Source organism: Homo sapiens, chromosome 1 (assembly GCF_000001405.40).
Source record: "Homo sapiens chromosome 1, GRCh38.p14 Primary Assembly".
In the NCBI taxonomy this organism is placed as follows: domain Eukaryota; kingdom Metazoa; phylum Chordata; class Mammalia; order Primates; family Hominidae; genus Homo; species Homo sapiens.
This window is the reverse complement of record NC_000001.11, coordinates 179,792,106-179,812,280: the sequence shown is the minus strand read 5'-3', so window position 1 is coordinate 179,812,280 and position 20,175 is coordinate 179,792,106. Positions and strand designations below refer to the sequence as shown.

Here is a 20,175-nt window from a genome sequence, read left to right as displayed (position 1 = left end):
TGAGGCTGTCATGGCTTCAGACAGATTCTCCTTTTAGGTCAGTGAATGGGGATTTCTGAGCCTCCCAGGTGCATTGGGACCAAGGGGCAGGAGGGTGGGGAATGGGAAGTTGGCATCTTGGAGATGGAAAAATGACTACGATCACTTACATTCAGTAAAGGGAACGGCGACCTGCAAGACAACAGAAAGGACAGAGATGTTGGAAGAAGAGAGTTACTCACTGAAAAAGGCCAGAAGGGTTAGATGATTCCCAGACAACCCTCATTTTGCTTTCTTCGCTGTGTGGCATATCATCAGTGAGCCCACAGACCCCAAGTCCAGGTCTCCAGCTGGGTCTCCAGCTGCTAGTAGATAGACATTTCAGTGGATGTCCCAGTGGTCATCTCAAACTCAGTTATGACAGGTTAAAGTCACCACCCTGCTCTCCAAATGGACTCCTCTCCTCCGACCTGTCTGGAGGCTCTGTTGGTGGCTCCACCAGAGCTGTCCCGAAGGGCTTTGCAAATTGTTTATTACTCAAAGGGCAAGTGGGGGCTAGAACCCAACTGCACTGTGCTCACAAAGCTATGCACCCTGGTGTGTTCACCAGGTAAAAGGGGGTGCCTTTATCTCTTTACCCAAAGATATCACATGTCCACCACTGTCCTCTTAGAGGGCTGCACCTGCCCGGCAGTGTGGCTCCAAATCCACTCCCGCTCTGTGGACCAGCAGCGTGGGCATCACCTGGGAGCACCATTAGAAAGATAGCATCTCAGGCCCCCCACAGGCCTAATGAGTCAGAGTTTGCATTTTAACAAGGTCCCAATTGAGTAGGTTGCACATTAGAGTTTGACAAGCCCATGGGACGTTCCCCTAGCTGCCCAGAATTTAAACTCCTCAAATTCTTCTTTGGCTACCCCAGTCTTCTGTCCCCCACACCAGTGAAGACTCATCACCTCTCAAGCTGCACTGGCACAATGGTTTCCTAACAAACCTTCCCAGTTTTGTCTCTGAGTACCCTTCCTGCCACCAGCTGTTAAGCCTTCCTTCATACCCCTGGGCCTTTCTGTGACTCTCATGCACCACATTGCCTGCAGGATACATTTATCTGCCCATAAACTTTTAGAGACAGCTTCAAAGACATTGCCATCCCCCACGTTCCTGCACACTTACCCTATTTATCTTTCCCTCCTCACCTCCCTTTCTTCCGCTTACGTGATCCACTGCCCCATCATGCAGTCCCACTGTTCTTTTTTTTGGAGACAGAGTCTCACTCTGTCCCTCAGTCTGGAGTGCAGTGGCACAATCTTGGCTCACTGCAACCTCTGCCTGCTGGGTTCCAGTGATTCTCGTGCCTCAGCCTCCCGAGTAGCTGGGATTATAGACGTGCAACCCCACACCGGGCTAATTTTTGTATTTTCAGTAGAAACGGGGCTTCACCATGTTGGCCAGGCTGGTCTCAAACTCCTGACCACCCACCAAGGTGGGTGATCCACCCGCCTTGGCCTCCCAAAGTGCTGGGATTACAAGTGTGAGCCATAGTCCTACAGTTCTTAAGCAGCTTATTGCCTAGTGATGAAAAGATACGGGGCAAACCTTAGGATACAGTGTGAGACTCGCAGCCACAGAATTGCAGACTAGAGTTGCGGAACCTAGAGTGGGGCAGCTACTGACTGAGGGGAGATGCTCCACTGCAGGTGTTGTATTGAGCTGAATCCTAAAAGCTGAGTGAAAGCTTATCCAGTAGACAAGGTGGGGAGGGCAGAATGAACAGTCCAGGGGTGTGAGAAAACAGTTCCAGGAACTGCGAGGGATCTGGCGAGGCTGGGACAGGCCAGGGCAGGCATGCAGCTGCAGAGGCTGCAACCCGGTCAAGGAATCCAGATGAACTCTCTTGGAGACCCTGGGGGTTTCCTGACGGGGCTTTTGACAGGGGAGCGTGTGGCCTTTCTTTTTCCATCTGTTTAAATCCTGCCCATCCTTCAAGGTTCTGAGAAGCCTCCCCTGACTGCCCCAGCCCTGAAGCTCTCTCACTTCTGGGCTCCTATTGCAATGCCCTTCATGGTTTGCTCTTCAAATCCCGCTTGGTGGGATGAGAGTCAACTTTTCATGTGGGAACATCTTGACTCCTCCACTATATTATAAGTCCTCTGGGATCAAGGGTTGTGTCTTACACGGTCTCCTATCCCCTGCAGCCTTATACACCATGCCTGACACATACCGGGTACTTAATAAAAGCTCACTGTTTAGCTTGTCACAGCCCTGGCAGTTATGACTCTGACAGACCACCAGGGGGCAGCAAGCTGTACCTCTCAGCTCAATCCCATCTGCAGACTTGAGCGTCACTGTTCGAGACCACTTTGATTTTGCCCAGGTGCATGGCGGGCCATGCTTCAGGGGTTTCTTGGGGCATCTGGAGGCGGGGTCAGATGAATCTCAGCGTGGGGAAGGCTTAGGCACTTTCACTACAGCACCACTTCATCCCCTCACCACTTCCCTGCATATTCGTCGCTGAGGGCTGCTTATGGACAGAGAGGTCTAGGAGTGACCTGAAGCTGGGGAGGCAGCAGTGATCCACCCCACAGACAGGCTTGGACTAGTGTTCCAGGATGTGCCAAGCCTATTTTAGGAGACAGGGAATTATGGAGAAGCTGTATAAGAACAGTGCCCTCCCTCCTCCCTGCCCCTGTGCTGGACCACCCCTCTTTCAGGACCACGCAGGCTGTGCACGGCAATGGCCTGGACATCGGGGGCATGGCAGTGTGGGCAGAGCTGGGGTTCTCAAGGCCCAGGTTCGAGGATCACCTGTGCCACTGAGCAGCTACCCCATATTGGAAAATGACCTTCTTTCTCACTTGTAAAGCAAAGATGAACAAAACGCTCAGCTCTCACATTCCTCTCACGTCTCCCTTGCCAGTAGGATTGCGAGGAATCGTAACCAAGGCTTGCCTCTCTTCCTCTGAATTCTCAAGTGTGACTGTGAGGAAAGAGGGGGATGGGTGTGAGAGCTCTTTGTGAACTAGAAAAGACCCCACAAACATGGTTTTGGGGGGCCTCGACATGTTGTGGCTGTTTAGGTCTGGCCTTAAAATCATAAGCCAGGAAGGGACATGTACAGGGTATGAGATGAACTAATCAGCTCTCAACCAGTTTCCCTGAAGCCCCAGTACTAATGGAAAAAAAAAATTTTTTTTTGAGACAGGGTCTTGCTCTGTCACCCAGGATGGAGTGTAGTGCTGCAATCTCGGCTCACTGCAGCCTCAACTTCCAGGGCCCAAGCGATCCTCCCACCTCAGCCTCCCAAGTAGCTGGGACCAAAGGCATGTGCTACCACGGCTGGCTAATTTCTGTACTAATGGTACAGTTTAGCATTTAAATTCCCACATTCAGTGGCTCTCTATGATTTCAGGAGGGCTCATTGTCTCTTTGCAACTAGATGCAAATGCTGGCAATATCTCCTTACACCCAAACAGCAGCCTACAGTTTACAAAGTGCTCCATTTATGCTCTCTTATGGCAGGCAGGCTCTGAGATGGCCCAAGTGGTCACTGCCTCCTGGCAGTCATGCCCTTGTGTACTCCCCTCCCCTGAGTATGGGTGTGGCCTGTAACTTGCTTTAACCAATCGAAAACAGCATGGGTAATGGGATGTCACTTCTGTGAATAGATTATATAAGATTCAGACTATTCTCTTGCTAGCCATTCTCTCTGATAGTTTTGATACTGAAAGTTGCCATGTTGGGGAAGAAACCTAGGGTGGCCTCTGGCCAATTCCTGGCTGGGGACTGAGGCCCTCAATCCAGCCTCCCAAAAGGAACTGAACAGCCACATACATGAGAGATGAAGTGGATCCTTCTCCAGTTGACCTTTGGGATGAATTGACAACCCCAGCTGAGACCTTGAGGCAGCGGGTCAACCAGCCATGTCTGGACTCCTGACCCACAGAAACTGATAATCACTGTGTGTTGTTTTAAGCTGCTGAGTTTGTGGTAGTTTGTGACGCAGCAAAAGATAACGAATACATTCTTGAATCTTACAAAAGCCCCAGCAATGCTGGAGGAGAAGCGAGACCATTAAGTCATTTGCCTAAAGTCATAGGATAACAAGTGCCTGAGTCAGGGCCCACGGGCCAGTGCTGTGGAGTTTCTAACACACCAGCTGCCTCCTGAGGTGTCCTGAGGACAGGAGAAAGAGGTCCCTATGTTCCCACCCAGGTCTCAGCAGGTCTAGGGCAGAATGACTCAGTGGTGGCCAAGTCAGGGAATGGGGGTAGCCAAAGAGGACAAACCTGCTGTCCACTAAAGAATCCTAAGGGCCTTCCCTCTGTGACCAGGACTTGCTGAAGCTCCTTCCCCACTGGTGGCCCAGACACCCTCTCCCAGAGGAAAAGGGAGTGGCCCGTGCCTTACACTTACGTGAAACAGCTGGAGCAGCGGTGACTCAGTCACGCGGGCTACACCTGAGCAGACAGCAGTTGGGGGTGCGTCTGGCCAAGGGCATCAGTCCCTGCCAGAGAAGAGAAGGAAAGGCTCATGAGAGCTGGACAGGGAGGCTGAGGACAGACAGGCTCCTGCTGGCCCCCAGTTGTGACCCCAGCTTCTAGAGTGGAAGTCTCTCCAGGGGTTTGCTTCTTGAGGTAAACCTCCACAGCTGCCTTGGTTTCCGAGGCCCCAGCCTAAGAACCTGAGGACAGACCTGTAAGGTTACACCTATCCCAGCTTTGTCTCCTTCCCTCTGTGCTGCTGCTGGAAGCCTGTGCCCAGGGCAGCGGCAGGATGCTGGGCACATGTCTGGGAGGTGACGGCGAGTGGGGCAGGGCGCTCGGCTGGCTTTCTCCTGCTCCACTGGAGGATCTGGATCTGTGCTCAGTGGATGTGTCCTTGTTGCCTGCATGACTGACCCTGCTCTTAACATACCTCTTTCCCAGCCCCTTTCCCACGGTTTCCCGGGCCTATTTTTCCCAGTGCCCGGGCTGCACACTTCCTTCCCCTACTCCAATATCCTGACTTCTATCAGGCCAAAGATGGTGACTGGACAGCCAGATGAGCAAGTTCAGGCTGCTGCGCTGATGGTGGAGGGGGAGGCAGGGCCCTCCCGAGACATCCAGGAATCCAGGGTAGGCTAATTTTTGGGGGTCTCTTTACATTGTTTCATTTGTTTATTCATTTAACCAATCAGTCTAACCCAGGACAGTGTTGACCTTTCTTTTTTTTTTTTTCTGAGACACAGTCTTGCTCTGTCACTCAGGGTGGAGTGCCACTGCAACCTCGGCCTCCCGGGTTCAAGCTATTCTCCCGCCTCAGCCTCCCAAGTAGCTGGTACTACAGGCACATGCCACCGTGCCCAGCTATTTTGTGTTTTTAGTAGAGATAGAGTTTCACCACATTGGCCAGGCTGGTCTCAAACTCTTGACCCTAAGTGACCCTCCTGCCTTGGCCTCCCAAAGTGCTGGGATTACAGGCTTGAACCACTATGCCCGGCCAGGACAGTGTTGATCTTTAAATAACCACTCAACATTATTCGGAAGAGTCTGGACCCTACACTGAGAGAAGGAGGGAGAGGAGGGATGCCCTGTAGGGGTGATGCTCAGCCCTGGCTCAGAGGAAAGGCCCCCCCTGGGTGGGGGATGTTTGTATTGGGGAGGAAACCCAGCCATTAACCACATCCACAGAGCCACCTTCCCAAGGGGACAGGGCTAACCACCTCCAGGTTCTCACCCTCGGCCAGAAACTGGAGGTCAAAGGACAGACATTAGCATGATGCCTCACGGACTGGGGCTGTCTGAGCCCAGCAGCTCTCAGGGGCAGAGCCCTGGGGAAAGCTGAGAAGGAGGCAGAGTGACTGCGTGACAGAACAGCCCTGTCCCCGTATCACCTCTCTCCTAGATCTAGGCCTTCCTACACTCTCCCAGCTCCTGCCTTGGACATTCTGGGCACTTAGGCTTTCTTTTCTCCAAGATGTTCTCATTCACATTAACCTGTGATGTAGAGTTTAATGCGACTGGGTATCACAGTGGGGCTCTTGCTGCACGAGTTCTGACAGGGCAAAGGATAGAAATCAGAAGGTGAAAGTGAGCCTGGGGCAGGGCCCTCTGCCCCTGGCTGTGCACAGACTGTACAATGGGAATGTAAAAGCATCTGTCTCAGGATCCGTGGATGCTTTCACCCACTTTATAAAATACATATAGGACCATAACTTGGTGAAGGTTTGCTGAGGAGATTTCCATGGTGAGAGGTGTTGCTGAGCTATGTATCCCAAGGGAGGAGAGCTCTGGGGCTGGCTGTCTTGAGTCAATATTGTGTAAGTGTCAACAGGGAGAAGACCTGAACTGAAGAGGCTGCAGGCGGCCTCCAGATGCCCAGAGGCTGAGCAAGGGGTTGCAAAAGACTCCTGGAAGAGAGATGCAGTGCTTGAGTGGGTGAAGGGAACTTCGGAAGAGAGGGGTCCAGCCCAGCAGGGAACCCCAGGAGAGCCCACAAAAACATTTCCAAAAGCAGGAGCCAGTTTTAAGTTTCTCTAAGCTCTCTAACCAGTAAGAACCCCGAATTTCGATCCCGGCCAGTGGTAAAACAGCAGCTCCTGGGCGGGTGGTAGGGAAGAGAGAACAGGGCGGTGTAGACAGCAGAGGGACGTGTGGGGGCCCACCTCAGGTGCTTCCAGCTTGAGCAGAGAGAAACTGGAAGAAAGGAGAAAAACAATGCGGTCAGAGTAAGAGCGTTTCATTACTCATGATTATTATGCATTCCTTTTTTTTTTTTTGAGACGGAGTTTTGGGAGTTTTGCTCTGTTGCGCAGGCTGGAGTGAAGTGGCACAATCTCGGCTCACTGCAACCTCCGCCCCACCAGGTTAAAGCGATTAATGCTGGCTTTAAGGCAGGATGCCTCAGCCTCTCAAGTAGCTCAGATTATAGGCGCCCGCCACCACCCCCGGCTAATTTTTGTATTTTTAGTAGAAATGGGGTTTCACCATGTTGTCCAGGCTGGTCTCAAACTCCTGACCTCAGGTGACCCACCTGCCTCAGCCTCCCAAAGTACTAGGATTACAGGCGTGAGCCAGCATGCCCGGCCTATGATGCATTCTAATGTCTGAGTGGACTGTATCTATAACTTACAGTAACTATAAGGCTATCACCGAAGACTGGATGAAAAAGCAATGGGATTGGGCCAAGTTTTTTTTCTAGGGGCAGGGGAAGATTTCTCCCACTGAATACATTTTAAAGTAAAGGGACATTTGAAGAAAAAAAATTAAAGTTGCTTTTTGAGCATAAATCACACAAAGTGCTTGTTACTTACAGAAAAATGATCCATGGAAATGTAAGGACTCCTGTGTCTTTTTAAAAAACTTTTATTTTAGGTTTGGGGATACAAGTGCAGGTTTGTCACACAGGTCAACTCATGTCATGGGGGTTTGTTGTGCAGATTATTTCATCACCCAGGTATTAAGCCTAGTGCCCAATAGTTATTTTTTTCTGTCCCCTCCCTCCTCTCACCCTCCACCCTTAATTAGGCCCCAGTATGCATTATTCCCTCTCTGTGTTCATGGGTTCTCATCATTTAGCTCCCACTTATATGTGAGAACATGTGGTCTTTGGCTTTCTGTGCCTGTGTGAGTTTGCTAAGAATAATGGCCTCCAGCTCCATCCATGTTCCCGCAAAAGACAAGATCTTGTTCTTCTTTATGGCTGCATAGTATTCCATGGTGTATATGTACCACATTTTCTTTATCCAGTCTGTCACTGATGAGCATTTAGGTTGATTCCATGTCTTTGCTATTGTAAACAGTGCTGCAGTGAGCACATGTGTGCATGTGTCTTTACGATAGAATGATTTACAATATCTTCATTTTCCAGGTGATGAAACCAAGTTCAAACAGGACAAATGACTTGTTTAACACACACAGCAAGGCAGAGATGGCATTGTAGAGGTCCCAGGACAGAGCCCTTCCATTTGATATTGTCTCTCCTTCCAGAAGATATGCATTTATTTCATCAGGAGCCAGGGTGTCCCCTGAAGTAGGGTTTCTCAAACTGGCTTGAGGTTAACAATTACCTGAGCCATGTATTAAAAAATGGAGACTCCAGAGTTACTGAAGCAGCATCTACAGGGTGGGGCCCAGGAATCTATATTCTTAGCAGATGTGAGCCTTACCATCTGGCCCTTTGGAAAATGATGCAAGAAGAAACTTCTCTGGGAGAATTTCAATCTGGAGGCAGCAGGGGAGGGGAGTGATCTTGCAGAGCCTGTGGCATCATCTGGTGCCCATGACAAGACAAGAGTGGCTCTGGGTTCTTCTTAGGCTTCCCCCTCCTCCTGCCGCCTGGCCTGGAGGCAAGCAGGCCAGGGGGCAGGAGGAGGGGGAAGCCTAAGAAGAACCAAAGGCATGTGGCATTAGCCTGGGTGGGGATGGAGCCAATAAAGTGGTCAGAATGGGGGGCCTGGCTGGGTGCGGTGGCTCATGCCTGTAATCCTAACACTTTGGGAGGCCGAGGCGGGTGGATCATGAGGTCAGGAGTTTGAGACCAGCCTGGTCAAGATGGTGAAATCCTGTCTCTATTAAAAACACAAAAATTAGCCGGGCGTGGTAGCACGTGCCTGTAATCCCAGCTACTCAGGAGGCTGAGGCAGGAGAATTGCTTGAACCCGGGAGGTGGAGGTTGCAGTGAGCTGAGATGGCGCCATTGCACTCCAGCCTGGGCAACAAGAGCAAAACTCTGTCTTAAAATAAAAAATAAAAAAAAAATGGGGGCCTTAAAGGCCATTTGTCTAGTAGAGGCTGGAGTTGGGCACTAAAAGCCACCCTGATAGAATGTGCTGGGAAATGGGTCTCTCACTCCCCACGATACCAGGGGTCTCTGCTGTATCTGAAGGTTCCCTGTTCTCAGTGACTTCAGCCTCACTGAAACAGGGTCACCTCGCCTCACTGCCTGGATGAATGCTGGCAGGAAACGCCAGCTGCGGCTGGCACCAGCACATGTAATTAACCATCGACTGCCCCCTGCTCCTTGCTCAGCCCCCTTAGGAGCACAAGTTAATTGAGTGGGGCCTAAGCACCAGCTGATCTCAATTTCTCTGATGCAATTAAGCCTTCTCTAATCATTTATTAACTTATGAAATTGACACAGCAGGTTAGCAGTCCCAGAGAAGAAGTTTTTTTCCCTGTTACCTGTCTTCCTGGACGGCAATCCTCAGGCAAGGCTGGAAGAAGGAAATGGGGAAGGGGTTCCCTTTACTTTGATTGTATATATGCCCATTACAAAGTCCTGACCCCCAGGATGAGGATTTGAAGAACTGGTGACTACATGGGTTCTCTTACCCTAGATGGGTAACTACAGCAGCAAAGAGATGTGCACTGTTTGAGAAGGGGTCTCTCTAGGAGATACAAGACTCTTGCAAATCATCAAGAAAAGACCCCCAAGAACCCCAATATAACAGTAGGCAATGGCAGGTGGTTTACCCTAAAGGCTCACAAAAAAGAGATGCACCAACTCATTATTAATTCAAGAAATACAAGCTGAAGCCACAATGAGCTATCACTTTTTACCTTTGGATTGGCAAAAGTCAGGAGCAGGATAATGCCAAGCATTGGTGCAGATGTGGGTATACAGGAGCACTGGTGGTGGGTGTAGCTGGGGCAGCCACTGAGGGAGTGACCTGGTACCACTTAGTCATAGCAAGTACACACATGGCCCATGAAACAGCAATTCTGCTCCTGGTTTGATGTCCCTGAAATTTCTTAACACAGCCATAAGGTGTCACATGTGAAGATGTTTGTTACCGTTGCTGGGCTGTTTATGATGGCGGGGACTTGGAGGCAACCTCAGTGATCATCACTGAGGAGTGGACCCGTAAACTCAGGTAGATGCTATCACGGAGGATATGCACCTGCTGAAAGCAGAGGACCAGATGTGGCACTGCAACACACAGCAACAAGGAGAAAGCTTAGCACAGTGCTAAGAGAAACAGCGAAACAAAACAAAACAACCAAGCATGAGAGGCATAAGAATTCTGCTCACATGCATTTAAACTACAAGCACACAGATCCACAATCCACATGTTCAAGAACACATACCAAAAAATGAATACACATTATGGCTGCCTATGGAAGAAGGTAAATGAAAGTGAGAGTGAGAATAAACATCAATAAGATGTGACAGATCTTGCACAGACCAATGATCATGATACTGTGCTATGATCTGAAGAATATAGTTAACTTAGTCTTCTGCATCTGAAGTCCAAGTCAAACAAAAAGAGAAAAGAAAGGAGGCTTTCACTTCCCCCAGGGAGCCTTCCAGGATTGACTAAATGCTGCACATTTTTGTTTGGCCTTCCTAAGGCCTATTTGTCCTCTGGTATTGGCATTTATTGATACACAGGTATCCTGTGGGTATATTTTGCTTTCTCCTTTACAGTTTAGACCATTTGGGGGCACAGACTTGGAATCACGCGTCTTTGTTAAGCTCCACTCCGGCCGCCTGCCTGGTATCTGCACATTCTGGATGCTGGAATGACCAGGTCTAAGGGGGAAGTTGCTTTGCACAGAGTGCTGTCCCCACACAGAGCCTTCCATCCTGCTGTGCTCTGTTGTGCACAGTGGAAAAAGCACTAGGCCAGGAGTTCCAAGACTTGAGTTTAAACCCTATTTTCTGCACTTATTACCTAGGTGACTTTGGACAATTAATGATCTCCTTGAGGCTCATCTGCAAAACGGAGATAAATAATACACCTTTCTCTACAGGGTGAGGATTACCTGGGAAAATGGGGGGAGGGTGATCTTTAAAATCACACTGCCTTCTAAAGAGGGCTGATGTTGTTCCAAGAGCCTCAGGGTCCCTGCAGTTAGCCCTCTGAGCTGCTCACAGGAGAGACGTCTCCATGCTCACTCATCCCTGGGTGAGTCTGGCTGTGCTGAGGTTTGGGAGTGGGGCTTGGAGAGCTGTGTGGGTATGGGGTGGTGGTCAGATCAGGGACGATGGGGTGAGGAAGAGAGATGAGCCCTGAAAACCAGCTGAGGCTCAGGGGTTCCACTGGGTCTCCCTGCCAGTTAAAAATCCCAGCAGTCAGGCACTGCACAAGGCTTCCAGGAATTGGGAGGTGTCTTATTTAATTCCAAGTGTTTGTGTTGGTGTCTCCTCAATGTGAGTGATATTTTTCTTCTCTGTGGCAATCCAATATACATCCAGATGTGCCTATCTGGGTGCATATCCATAGTATACAGAAGACACTCACAGCAAGAAGAATTCAGTGGAGGGAGGAGTTTGGAGCCAGGGGTGACCATGAGAACAGCAGTCCTCAGAACAGAGTTTGGGTTTCCGCTGAGCCCTATAATGGGGGCTTGAGCAAGTCCTATGTAGATCCTGCAGAACGTGTGACCCCAGCTCATATTTGAGTTATGCCTGAGCTAATGCATGTGAAAATGAGTTTGTTATTCCTCTTCTCTTCCGTTCCATCCTTGATGGGCTGCTCAGAACAGAACATGAACCTCAGGCTCCTGATCATGACCTTGACTGGACCTTGTCTGGCTGGGCCTTTGTGTCTCAGCATCCTTGTGGAAACTCTGTTATTCCCCTCATTTATCCTTCATCTACTACTTACTGAGCGCTAAGGAAAATGCCTGGCATGGAGCCCAGCACCAGGGACACAAGATGAGAGGCAGAGTCCCCTCAAGGAGCTCACAGGAGGGGACGCGGAGAGAAAACATGGCCTGTCCTCTGGTTTCAGGACCCCCAGTGTCCAGTCCACCTGTGGAAGGCCTGGGGGTGACTCTGCAGTCTCTGTCAGACCACCATGGTCTAACATGGCTTGGAGTGCACAGACACCCCAGAGTAGGCATATCCATCAGGCTTGTTCAGTGCTTGGGGTTACAAATAAATATTTGCTGCAGATAAACAGAGGTGCTCTGCTCCTCCCAGCCAAGGGCTGTCTCAGAGGTGCTGCCTACATCCTGGATGCCTGTCAAGGGCAAGGCTGAGCGTACCCCTTCCCTGATTCGGGTGACACAAAACAGGCTGCTCTGCATGTTTTTTTCAGCAAAAACTGTGCTGATAATGGAAGAAGAGTAAGCACAGGTGTGTCGGAACCCCTGCACTGGCAGAGCCTGAGAACCTGGCTGTGGGCCCCTTGGGCTGGGGAGGGGCTGTGACTTTGGTCTAAAGCCCCACAGCACACTGTTTCATGTCTGCCTTACTCACCAGTGAATCTTTAGCCCTAGAACATAGTAGATGCTCAATACATACCTGTCGAATGCAGGAACTAGTGTATAGAGCATGCCATGTTTATTGGAAGTCTTCCTTGCCACCATCCCCCACACTGTCCACATGTCTCTGCTGCAGAGTGTCACACAGCACCTCAAGCTCCACCTGCCCCAGCTCCCAGACTTTTCTGATCCTTCCAGGCCTCTCTTCCTGAGAACCTCAGTTTTGCCTATAGTCCATATGACACAATTGGGACTTAGTTATGTGTCATTTTACACGAGTGTGGGCAATTTTATACAGACAATGCTAGTCTCTGGAGCTCCTGAAGTTCTGATCACAGGTCTGTCTGCTCTGCTTCAGAGAGGCCAGTGCTGAGGCCAGTAAACCTGTTAAGGGTTTGGTTCACATTGGACTTGGTTTTGTTTGTTTCTGCCTTTCCTAACAATGTTCATTAACAGTTTAGAGAGTTTTCCTATGCTTCATCTTGTTTGTCTCCTAGGCATGGCAGATTTTGATTTCTCTTACTTTACAGAAAATATTAAGTTTAGGAAGGCCAAGTGATTTGGCCACAGTCACATGACTATTTCCGGGACAGCCTGCTGCCACTCTTCTTCCATGACCAGAGTCGTTCTTGCTATGCACGGAACGTGCCGAGCGGCCCATCTCCATGCCACCCTGGCTCTTCTAACCCCAGAGTCAGTGCTCTTTCCTGGCCTACCAAAGCAGCCTGAATTGTTGGCCATTCACAGGAGGCATGAGGACACCATGGCATAGCCCAGTGTCATGGGATAGGGCTTCACATTTCACAAGTCTGTTGTGTTGCACTTTATGGCTTGGATTTCTCCCTATCTGTCCTTGATTGTTTAGAGGGTGTTCTGAGATTCCCTATGCAGCAGGCCTGCAGCTCAGTGCCTGCTAAACAGACTTGCTAGGAAAGGCAGAAGCATCTATAGGGCTTGTTTCACTTCTTTCAGCAGTGAAACACTTGTTTCACTTGTTTCACTTTCTTCCAGCAGACTGGAAGAAATCCAGTAAGAACACAGGCCACTGAAGGGACAGAGAGCTTGATTTCTGAGGCAGATGGAGATAAGGAGGGTCATTGCATTAGGCTGACAAGAGGGCCAGAGGGAGCTAGCTGTAAAGACTGGCCATGGAGCCCAGAGTCCTCACACTCAGGGTGGCAGGAAGCGGGAGGCTTGCAAAGGGGTTTCCAAGAGGGGCAGGATTGAACTAGGTTGATTAAATTATACCAAAGAAACTTTAGACCAGGTCCAAGATGAATCTCACAGAAGGATATACACAAGTGCAACAGGGAGATTTGGAAGCTGTGTCCACCCACATCGTGCAGGGAGGCTTGGGGAACATTTTTGAGCTGCTCTCCTCTCCTTTCCTCCATCCCAGAGGGCCTGGCCTATTTATCCCGCCAGTCGGATCTGACTGGGCCAGACTAAGGCTTGTCTAGAGTGGGACAAGGCAGCTTCTGGGGTAGGAGACCTTAAAAAGCATGTCAGGGTAAATCCAGAATCCTCAATCACATCAGACAAATATTCTAAGATGGGCAAAAGTGCCCCGAGGAGGACTGTGAAAAGCCCAGGGGCAGGTGATAAGGTGAAAGCGGCAGTAGGCCTGCTGAGTATGCGCGTGGTGGCAGGGCTGCACTGAAGCCACTGGAGGGGCCATCCAGAGGCAGCTCCTGAAACAAGAGGAGACACCAGGGGAACCCCACGGGGCAAGCCCCGTGTGAGACACAGTGGAGCCTGCAAAGGAAGGATCCCACTGGATCAGAATAAAACAATGCCCTCAGCCACACGGATGGGAACTTCCACCCTCACTTAGAGAGCTGGAATGGAACATTCACATCTAAACACATGCCTTATATTCTTTTTTTTTTGAGATGGAGTCTGGCCCAGGCTGGAGTACAGTGGCGTGATCTCAGCTCACTGCAACCTCCACTTCCCAGGCTCAAGCGTTTCTTGTGTATCAGCCACCCGAGTAGCTGGGATTACAGGTACCTGCCACCATGCCTGGCTAGTTTTTGTATTTTTAGTAGAGACGGAGTTTCGCCATGTTAGCCAGGCTGGTTTCAAACTCCTGAGCTCAGACAATCTACCTGCCTCGGTCTCCCAAAGTGCTGAGATTACAGGTGTGAGCCACTGCGCCCGGCCATGCCTTATATTCTTAATAGTTATACACACACATGCTCAAGTCAACCGCACATCAACACATATGGTTCCTATTCCACATAGGGGTTTAGTAATTCTCAACTCATTCTTTGGGTGTCTTTGTGAAGGTCCAAGTAAACCTTCTAGAAGTTGGCCTTGTTGACTATTAGAATCAGTATTCTGAGAGAGCAAAACTAAGGAAACAGCAACCTCTGCTTAGATTTTTTTAATTCACAGATAAAAATTATATATATATAGATAAAGATGATGTAAAACATGACATTTTAATATAGGTACACATTGTAGAATGGCTAAATCAAGCTAGTTATATGCATGACCTCACATACTTTGTTTTTTAAGGTAAGAACACTTAAAATGTACTCTCTTGGCAATTTTCAAGTATATAATATATTGCTGGGAACTGTAGTCCCCAGCCTGCACAATAGAGGTCTTGAACTTATGCCGCCTGTCTTGACAAGTCTTATTTCCCTTTTTTTTGAGACAGAGTTTTTCTCTTGTTGCCTGGGCTGGCGTGAGTGCAGTGGCGTGATCTTGGCTCACTGCAACCTCTGCCTCCCAGGTTCAAGCGATTCTCCTGCCTCAGCCTCCCAAGTAGCTGGGATTACAAGCATGTGCCACCATGCTCAGCTAATTTTTTGTATTTTTAGTAGAGACGAGGTTTCACCATGTTGGCCAGGCTGGTCTCGAACTCCTGACTTCAAGTGAGCTGCCCGCCTCGGCCTCCCACAGTGCTGGGACCACAGGTGTGAGCCGTCGCACCTGGCAAATCTTATTTCTATCTGAGAAACACACTCTGACTTCTCTGCAGGGGGCAGTCCTGCGACGGCTCTGAGAGCTGAATCATTATCACTTTGCACCCTGTAGCTGGGGTGAGGCAGGATGTGCTGATTCTAAACTGCAGCTTCTCACTCTTCCCCAGAAGTGGAGGTGAAAGTGGGCAGGAGCCCCCGTGTCATACACAGGCCTGTGAGCTAAAGGGGTGAGAACTGCATGTGGTGGCTAACCCATGGGGGAAGACTCCAGAATGGATGATCCAGGTAAGCCTGCTGTCCTAGAGAACAGTTTAGGAATGTTAGCAAGAGGGCAACTTCTCAAGTCTTCTATGTAACAGAAAAACACAGTAGGTTAAGATACAGTGTCTACAGCCTTTCCCTTCTTCTGCTTTCTGCTAAACGGTGTCCACCAGCTCATCTTGTGGGCTGTGCAGACTTGGGGTAAAAGGTAAGTTGGGAGGTACCATGCTGTTTGGGTTTATATGTTAGAAAGGTCAGAGTAGCCAACCTGGATGTACTTAGACAATGAGAGAAGAGGGGGAGATATCAAAGAGCCAGCATGACAGGCGTGTGAGAAGCATCCTGGAGAACCTGCAGGAGGAGGAGACTTTGGGGGCAGCTGCCATCTGTGCAAGATAGAGGGAGAGGTGGAGATGGGGAAAAAGATTTTTTAAAGTTTTAACAATATGTTATGAATGAAATTCCTCCATTTGGAATTTTCCCCAAATCTTCAATAAACATTTTAATCGCTTTCAAAATATGTGACATCAGATTTGAGTCTCTTTAAATGTGACACCTTGAAGAGATGGAGCCCACAGGGTAACTTTTTTTTTCTTTTGTGAGTTGTAATTATAAATGAGAATGACTTGTCCAAAGAAAGTAGGAATTCAGTTGGAAGTATCAGTAACTCTCAGAGATAGAAATACGCCAATTTAGGTAAAGTTGAGAAGAAATAGATAGATTAGCATTGATGTACATCCCAAACCTTAAGTTTGTGTGTGTGTGTGTGTGTGTGTGTGTGTGTATTATTGAATGTTTCTCTGGAGAAGGGGTACATAGCTTTCGTCAGATATCAGGGAGTTCTGTGACTGCAGAAAAGTCAAGGGCAACAGAATAAGATGATGAATAGAAAGGAAGTAACAGAGGAAGGGAATGGCTAAGGAGACACAGTTGTAAAATAATAATAATAATAATAATAGAGAAAGACTCCTGTCATAGGATCTATAGGCAGAGAAAGGAAGAATAATAAAATGTAAATCAGTTATGAATGGCCAACGCAGGAACTCATTTCCATAAAACCAAGCCAAACTTGGGGAGAGGGGTTAGAAAAAGACAAAAGGAGATAGTGATTTGGTGGGAAACACGAATGATAAACACTCTTCAGAATGTTTCTATTTGGTGGCCTCTCTGGAACCAGCTGCTATTGAGCCCGATTCAGCCTGTGGTCAAGGCCATAGCACTAGCACTGTTGCTGGGACTGTGTCTTAGCCTATTTTCTGCTGTTATAACAGCATATAAGAGACTACGTCATTTATGTAGAACAGAAGCTTATTTCGCTCATGGTTCTGAAGACGGGGGAGTCCAAGAGCATGGCACCAGCATCTGGTGGGGGTCATCCGATGGCAGAAGGTGAGTGAGCAAGGGAGTGTGGGAGAGCAAGTGAAAATGCAGGCCAATTTATCCTTTTATCAGGAGCCCATTCCCACAATAACAATATGAATCCCTTTACAAAGGCACAGCCCTCATGGCCTAAAGGCCTCTTAAAGACCCTACCTCTTAAAACCGTTACAACGGCAATTAAATTTCCAGCACATGAACTTTTGGGGGACACATTCAAGCCACAGATGAGTGTAAACTGGCAGAGGTGATTTGAGGGCGATTTGATAGTATGTACCAGAATCAGAAAGATACCTCCACTTTGCCTCAGCCTCCTGAATAGCTGGGGTTATAGGCATGAGCCATCATGCCCGGCTGTTTTATAATGATGTGTCATAAATTGCTTTTTATCCTCTTTAGGAATCCTCTTTAGATTAATCCTTGCTTTTCAGTAATTCTAGTCACTCTGATAGCCCTCTCCCATCCCCCTTCTTACCACCTTGCCAAGAGTTTGTCGTGTGCATATTTCTCTCTGGGGTTGCTGCTGGCAGGTGGTGGTGGTTAGAGTTCTGTGGTGAGTATGTGGGAAGGAGCCCAGGCCTTGGAGTTGGGAGGCCGAGATTAGATTCATGGCTCAGTGGGACTTTGGATAAGTCACTCAGCCTCTTTGAATTCCCATTTCCTTATCTTCATGCCCTTCCTCCCTTGCACTGTTACACGATTGCATAAATGCCTCCCCTTCAGCATTTCCTCATGACCCAGGGTTCACTCCCATGTAATATCTGTCTGAGCGCCTTGCCAGATGTAAACTCCTCTGATGCAGGGACCCAGCTTCTTTATCTCTGTATCTCCCAGAGCACCTAGCAAAGGACTCCAAACATAGTGCATACTCACATTTGTTAAATCAAAGCCAGACATTAAAAAGCACCACATAAGCCCTCACAAAAGCAGAGGATTACTGTCTTTTTAAAATTAGTGTTGTTATAATGATTTTTGGTTTGCCTAGTTTCATGTTATTGTCAGAATTTCTCAAAGTGTGTCTATCCACCGCATGCCACAGAGATGCCAGGATGCTAGTTTAAAATCCAGATTCCAGGGAATCCCAAGACACCTGTGGGTGCATCCTGGTAATGTGCATTTTAAGTAGGGTGATTATTCAATTTATTGCCTAACTGGGACACTTGAGTGAATGGGGGTACTATTAATAGTTATGCTGGGACAACTGGCATAAACCAGGACAGTCACACTCATTTCAAGTATTTCTTTGGACACTGAAGTGTGAGAACTGCTGCCCAATGCTCTAATTTTTTGGTGGTAAGAACCAGTTGTCTTCTCCCCTTTAACTCCTTAAACTGTGCAGCAAAGACAGGCCCCTGAATTGATGGGCTAGGGAGGCAGCTATGGTGCTGCCATTAGGCTGAGCAGAGGCACAAGGTGGCCAAGAGTGTGAGAGTAAGGGCAGCCGCTGCCCTGTGCAAGTCCTGGCCTGGAGTGTCCTCCTGCTACCTTGGAAGATGCTGGCTGTGGCCACTGTGAATGAAGCTGTAAGGGACTGGTGCTGATGTCTTCTCCAGCTGTCTTTCAAGGACCAGGCCCTCTTCACTCACAGATGAGACTTTAAGGGGACAGCAATAACACAAATAATGTCCCATACTCAACAGTGAGGGAGAATACCTGTAAGTCAGAGAGCCCTGGGCCGGCAACAGCCACCCAGCATGTGGTGGCACTCTGCAACCTGGCCAAATGCCCACTGCATCACTGAGGACAGCAACGGGGCCTCCAGATCCTGTGGCAGGGCTGTTGCTTTCTTTCAAGAGAACTTGTCTTCTGTTCATTTTGCTTTTTCTTTTAATTCACAATCATGGAAAAGCACCCAGTTCTATCAAAGCCAATTCTAAGACTTTTGAACCAAAGGGAGCTATGACATTACACCTGAAATATGAGTTCCAGACCTATCTCACCAGGATCCCTTGAGCTTTAATAAGACACCCTCTAGAGCTGGGGTTTCACTGCCCCCTAATAGCACTAAACCAGCGGTCCATGGAATCCCTGCATGAGCACGTACGCTTTTCTCATTTCTGTGCTTCATGCTTTCACCACGCACATACTTTTCCCATGAGACAAGCCCATATGTCACTAGGTAGATAGATGATGAGCCTTCTGATTTGCAGTAAAACTCATAGACTCTTAGAATTTTGGAAAGTATAACCTGCTTTCAAATAAGGTTTTAATTATGCTCTGGCTAAAGAACTGGTTGTGGTGACATATGTGACATGTAGACATATGAGTATGGCCTGCCACTGGGACACACAGAGAAGGGACCGTATCCAGAGAGGGCGTGGGAACACTCACAGCCATGCAGGTGAGCAATGGTTGAAGAAACTGGGGATGTTGAGCCTGCCTAAGAGAAGTTGTCAGAGAAAGGATGGGGGATAGGCTATGATATCTTTGTCAGATATCTAAAGACCTGTCACTTGAAGGAAAGATTCATTTTATTTTGTATCTCTGTTCCACAAAACTACATGATTCCATGCCTTTTTTTTTTCATGATATTCTCTTCCCCACTAATCCCTCTCAGATGCTACTTTCTTTATGCACCCTTTCTGGGGCAAAACCAGCTGTCCCCTCTTTCAGGATGCCAGCTCCTGTCACACTGTATTTTATTATATATATATATATATTTTATTATCTGTCTCATCCACTAGAGTATGGGTCCCTTGAGTGCAGGAGCTGGGCACACTTTTCTATCTCAGCACCAAATACAAAGTAGCCCTTTCGTGCATGTTTACAGAATGAATGAATGAAGAAATGACTTTTTGGTAGGGGTGTTTTAGTATGAGCTCTGTGAGGTGATGGAGATCATCAGCTCCATTTTATTGATAGGTAACTAATGGAGGCACACAGAGAAGAGGTGATTTGTCTAAGGTAACACAACTAGTAAGTGGAGGCGCAGACACTAGTTCTCAGGTCTTCCTATGTAAAACTCCAGCCTTTCTGCCATGAGAACAAGTGTGAACGTAAACAGGTAACATTAATAATCAAGTCACTATTTATTGGCACTAATTACATCCCTCGTCACTGAGACTGGGCCTTCTGTTTAAGATATGGAGACCAAAGTCCAGGAGCAGTGGTTCATGCCTATAATCCCACCACTTTGGGAGGCTAAGCGGGGGTGGATTTGTTGAGCACAGGAGTTTGAGATCAGCCTGGTCAACATAAAGAGACCCAATCTCCACACACACACACACACACACACACACACACACACACACACACAATCAGATATGGTGGCATGTGTCTGTAGTCCCAGCTACTCAGGAGGCTGAGGCAGGAGGATTGCTTGAGCCCAGAAGTCTGAGGCTGCAGTGATCCATGATCTTGCCACTGCACTCTAGCTGAGGCAACAGAGCTGGGGAATTATTATTTCCATTTTACAGATGAAGAAACTGAAGATC

At 48.5% G+C, this 20,175-nt stretch overlaps 1 protein-coding gene and 1 non-coding gene across 22 annotated transcripts in view; both read right to left on the bottom strand.

Moving 5' to 3' along the window:
• FAM163A (family with sequence similarity 163 member A) overlaps positions 1–20,175 on the bottom strand; it is an 88,423-nt gene that overhangs the window by 3,918 nt on the left and 64,330 nt on the right. For 7 of the 21 annotated variants that reach the window (NM_001393418.1, NM_001393422.1, NM_001329719.2 and 4 more), the window contains 2 exons: positions 4,393–4,483; positions 150–171 (listed from right to left, as the gene is read on the bottom strand). The gene's annotated coding sequence lies outside the window, so the exon portion shown is untranslated. Of the gene's footprint in view, positions 1–149; positions 172–2,347; positions 2,600–2,834; positions 2,957–4,392; positions 4,484–6,507; positions 6,654–20,175 lie in introns of those variants that run through there. The other 14 variants (NM_001393416.1, NM_001393423.1, NM_001393415.1 and 11 more) reach the window with 9 other exon arrangements.
• Positions 8,256–8,357, bottom strand: MIR12116 (microRNA 12116). Its single transcript, NR_162130.1, has one exon. It is a non-coding gene; the product is annotated as a microRNA 12116 (primary transcript).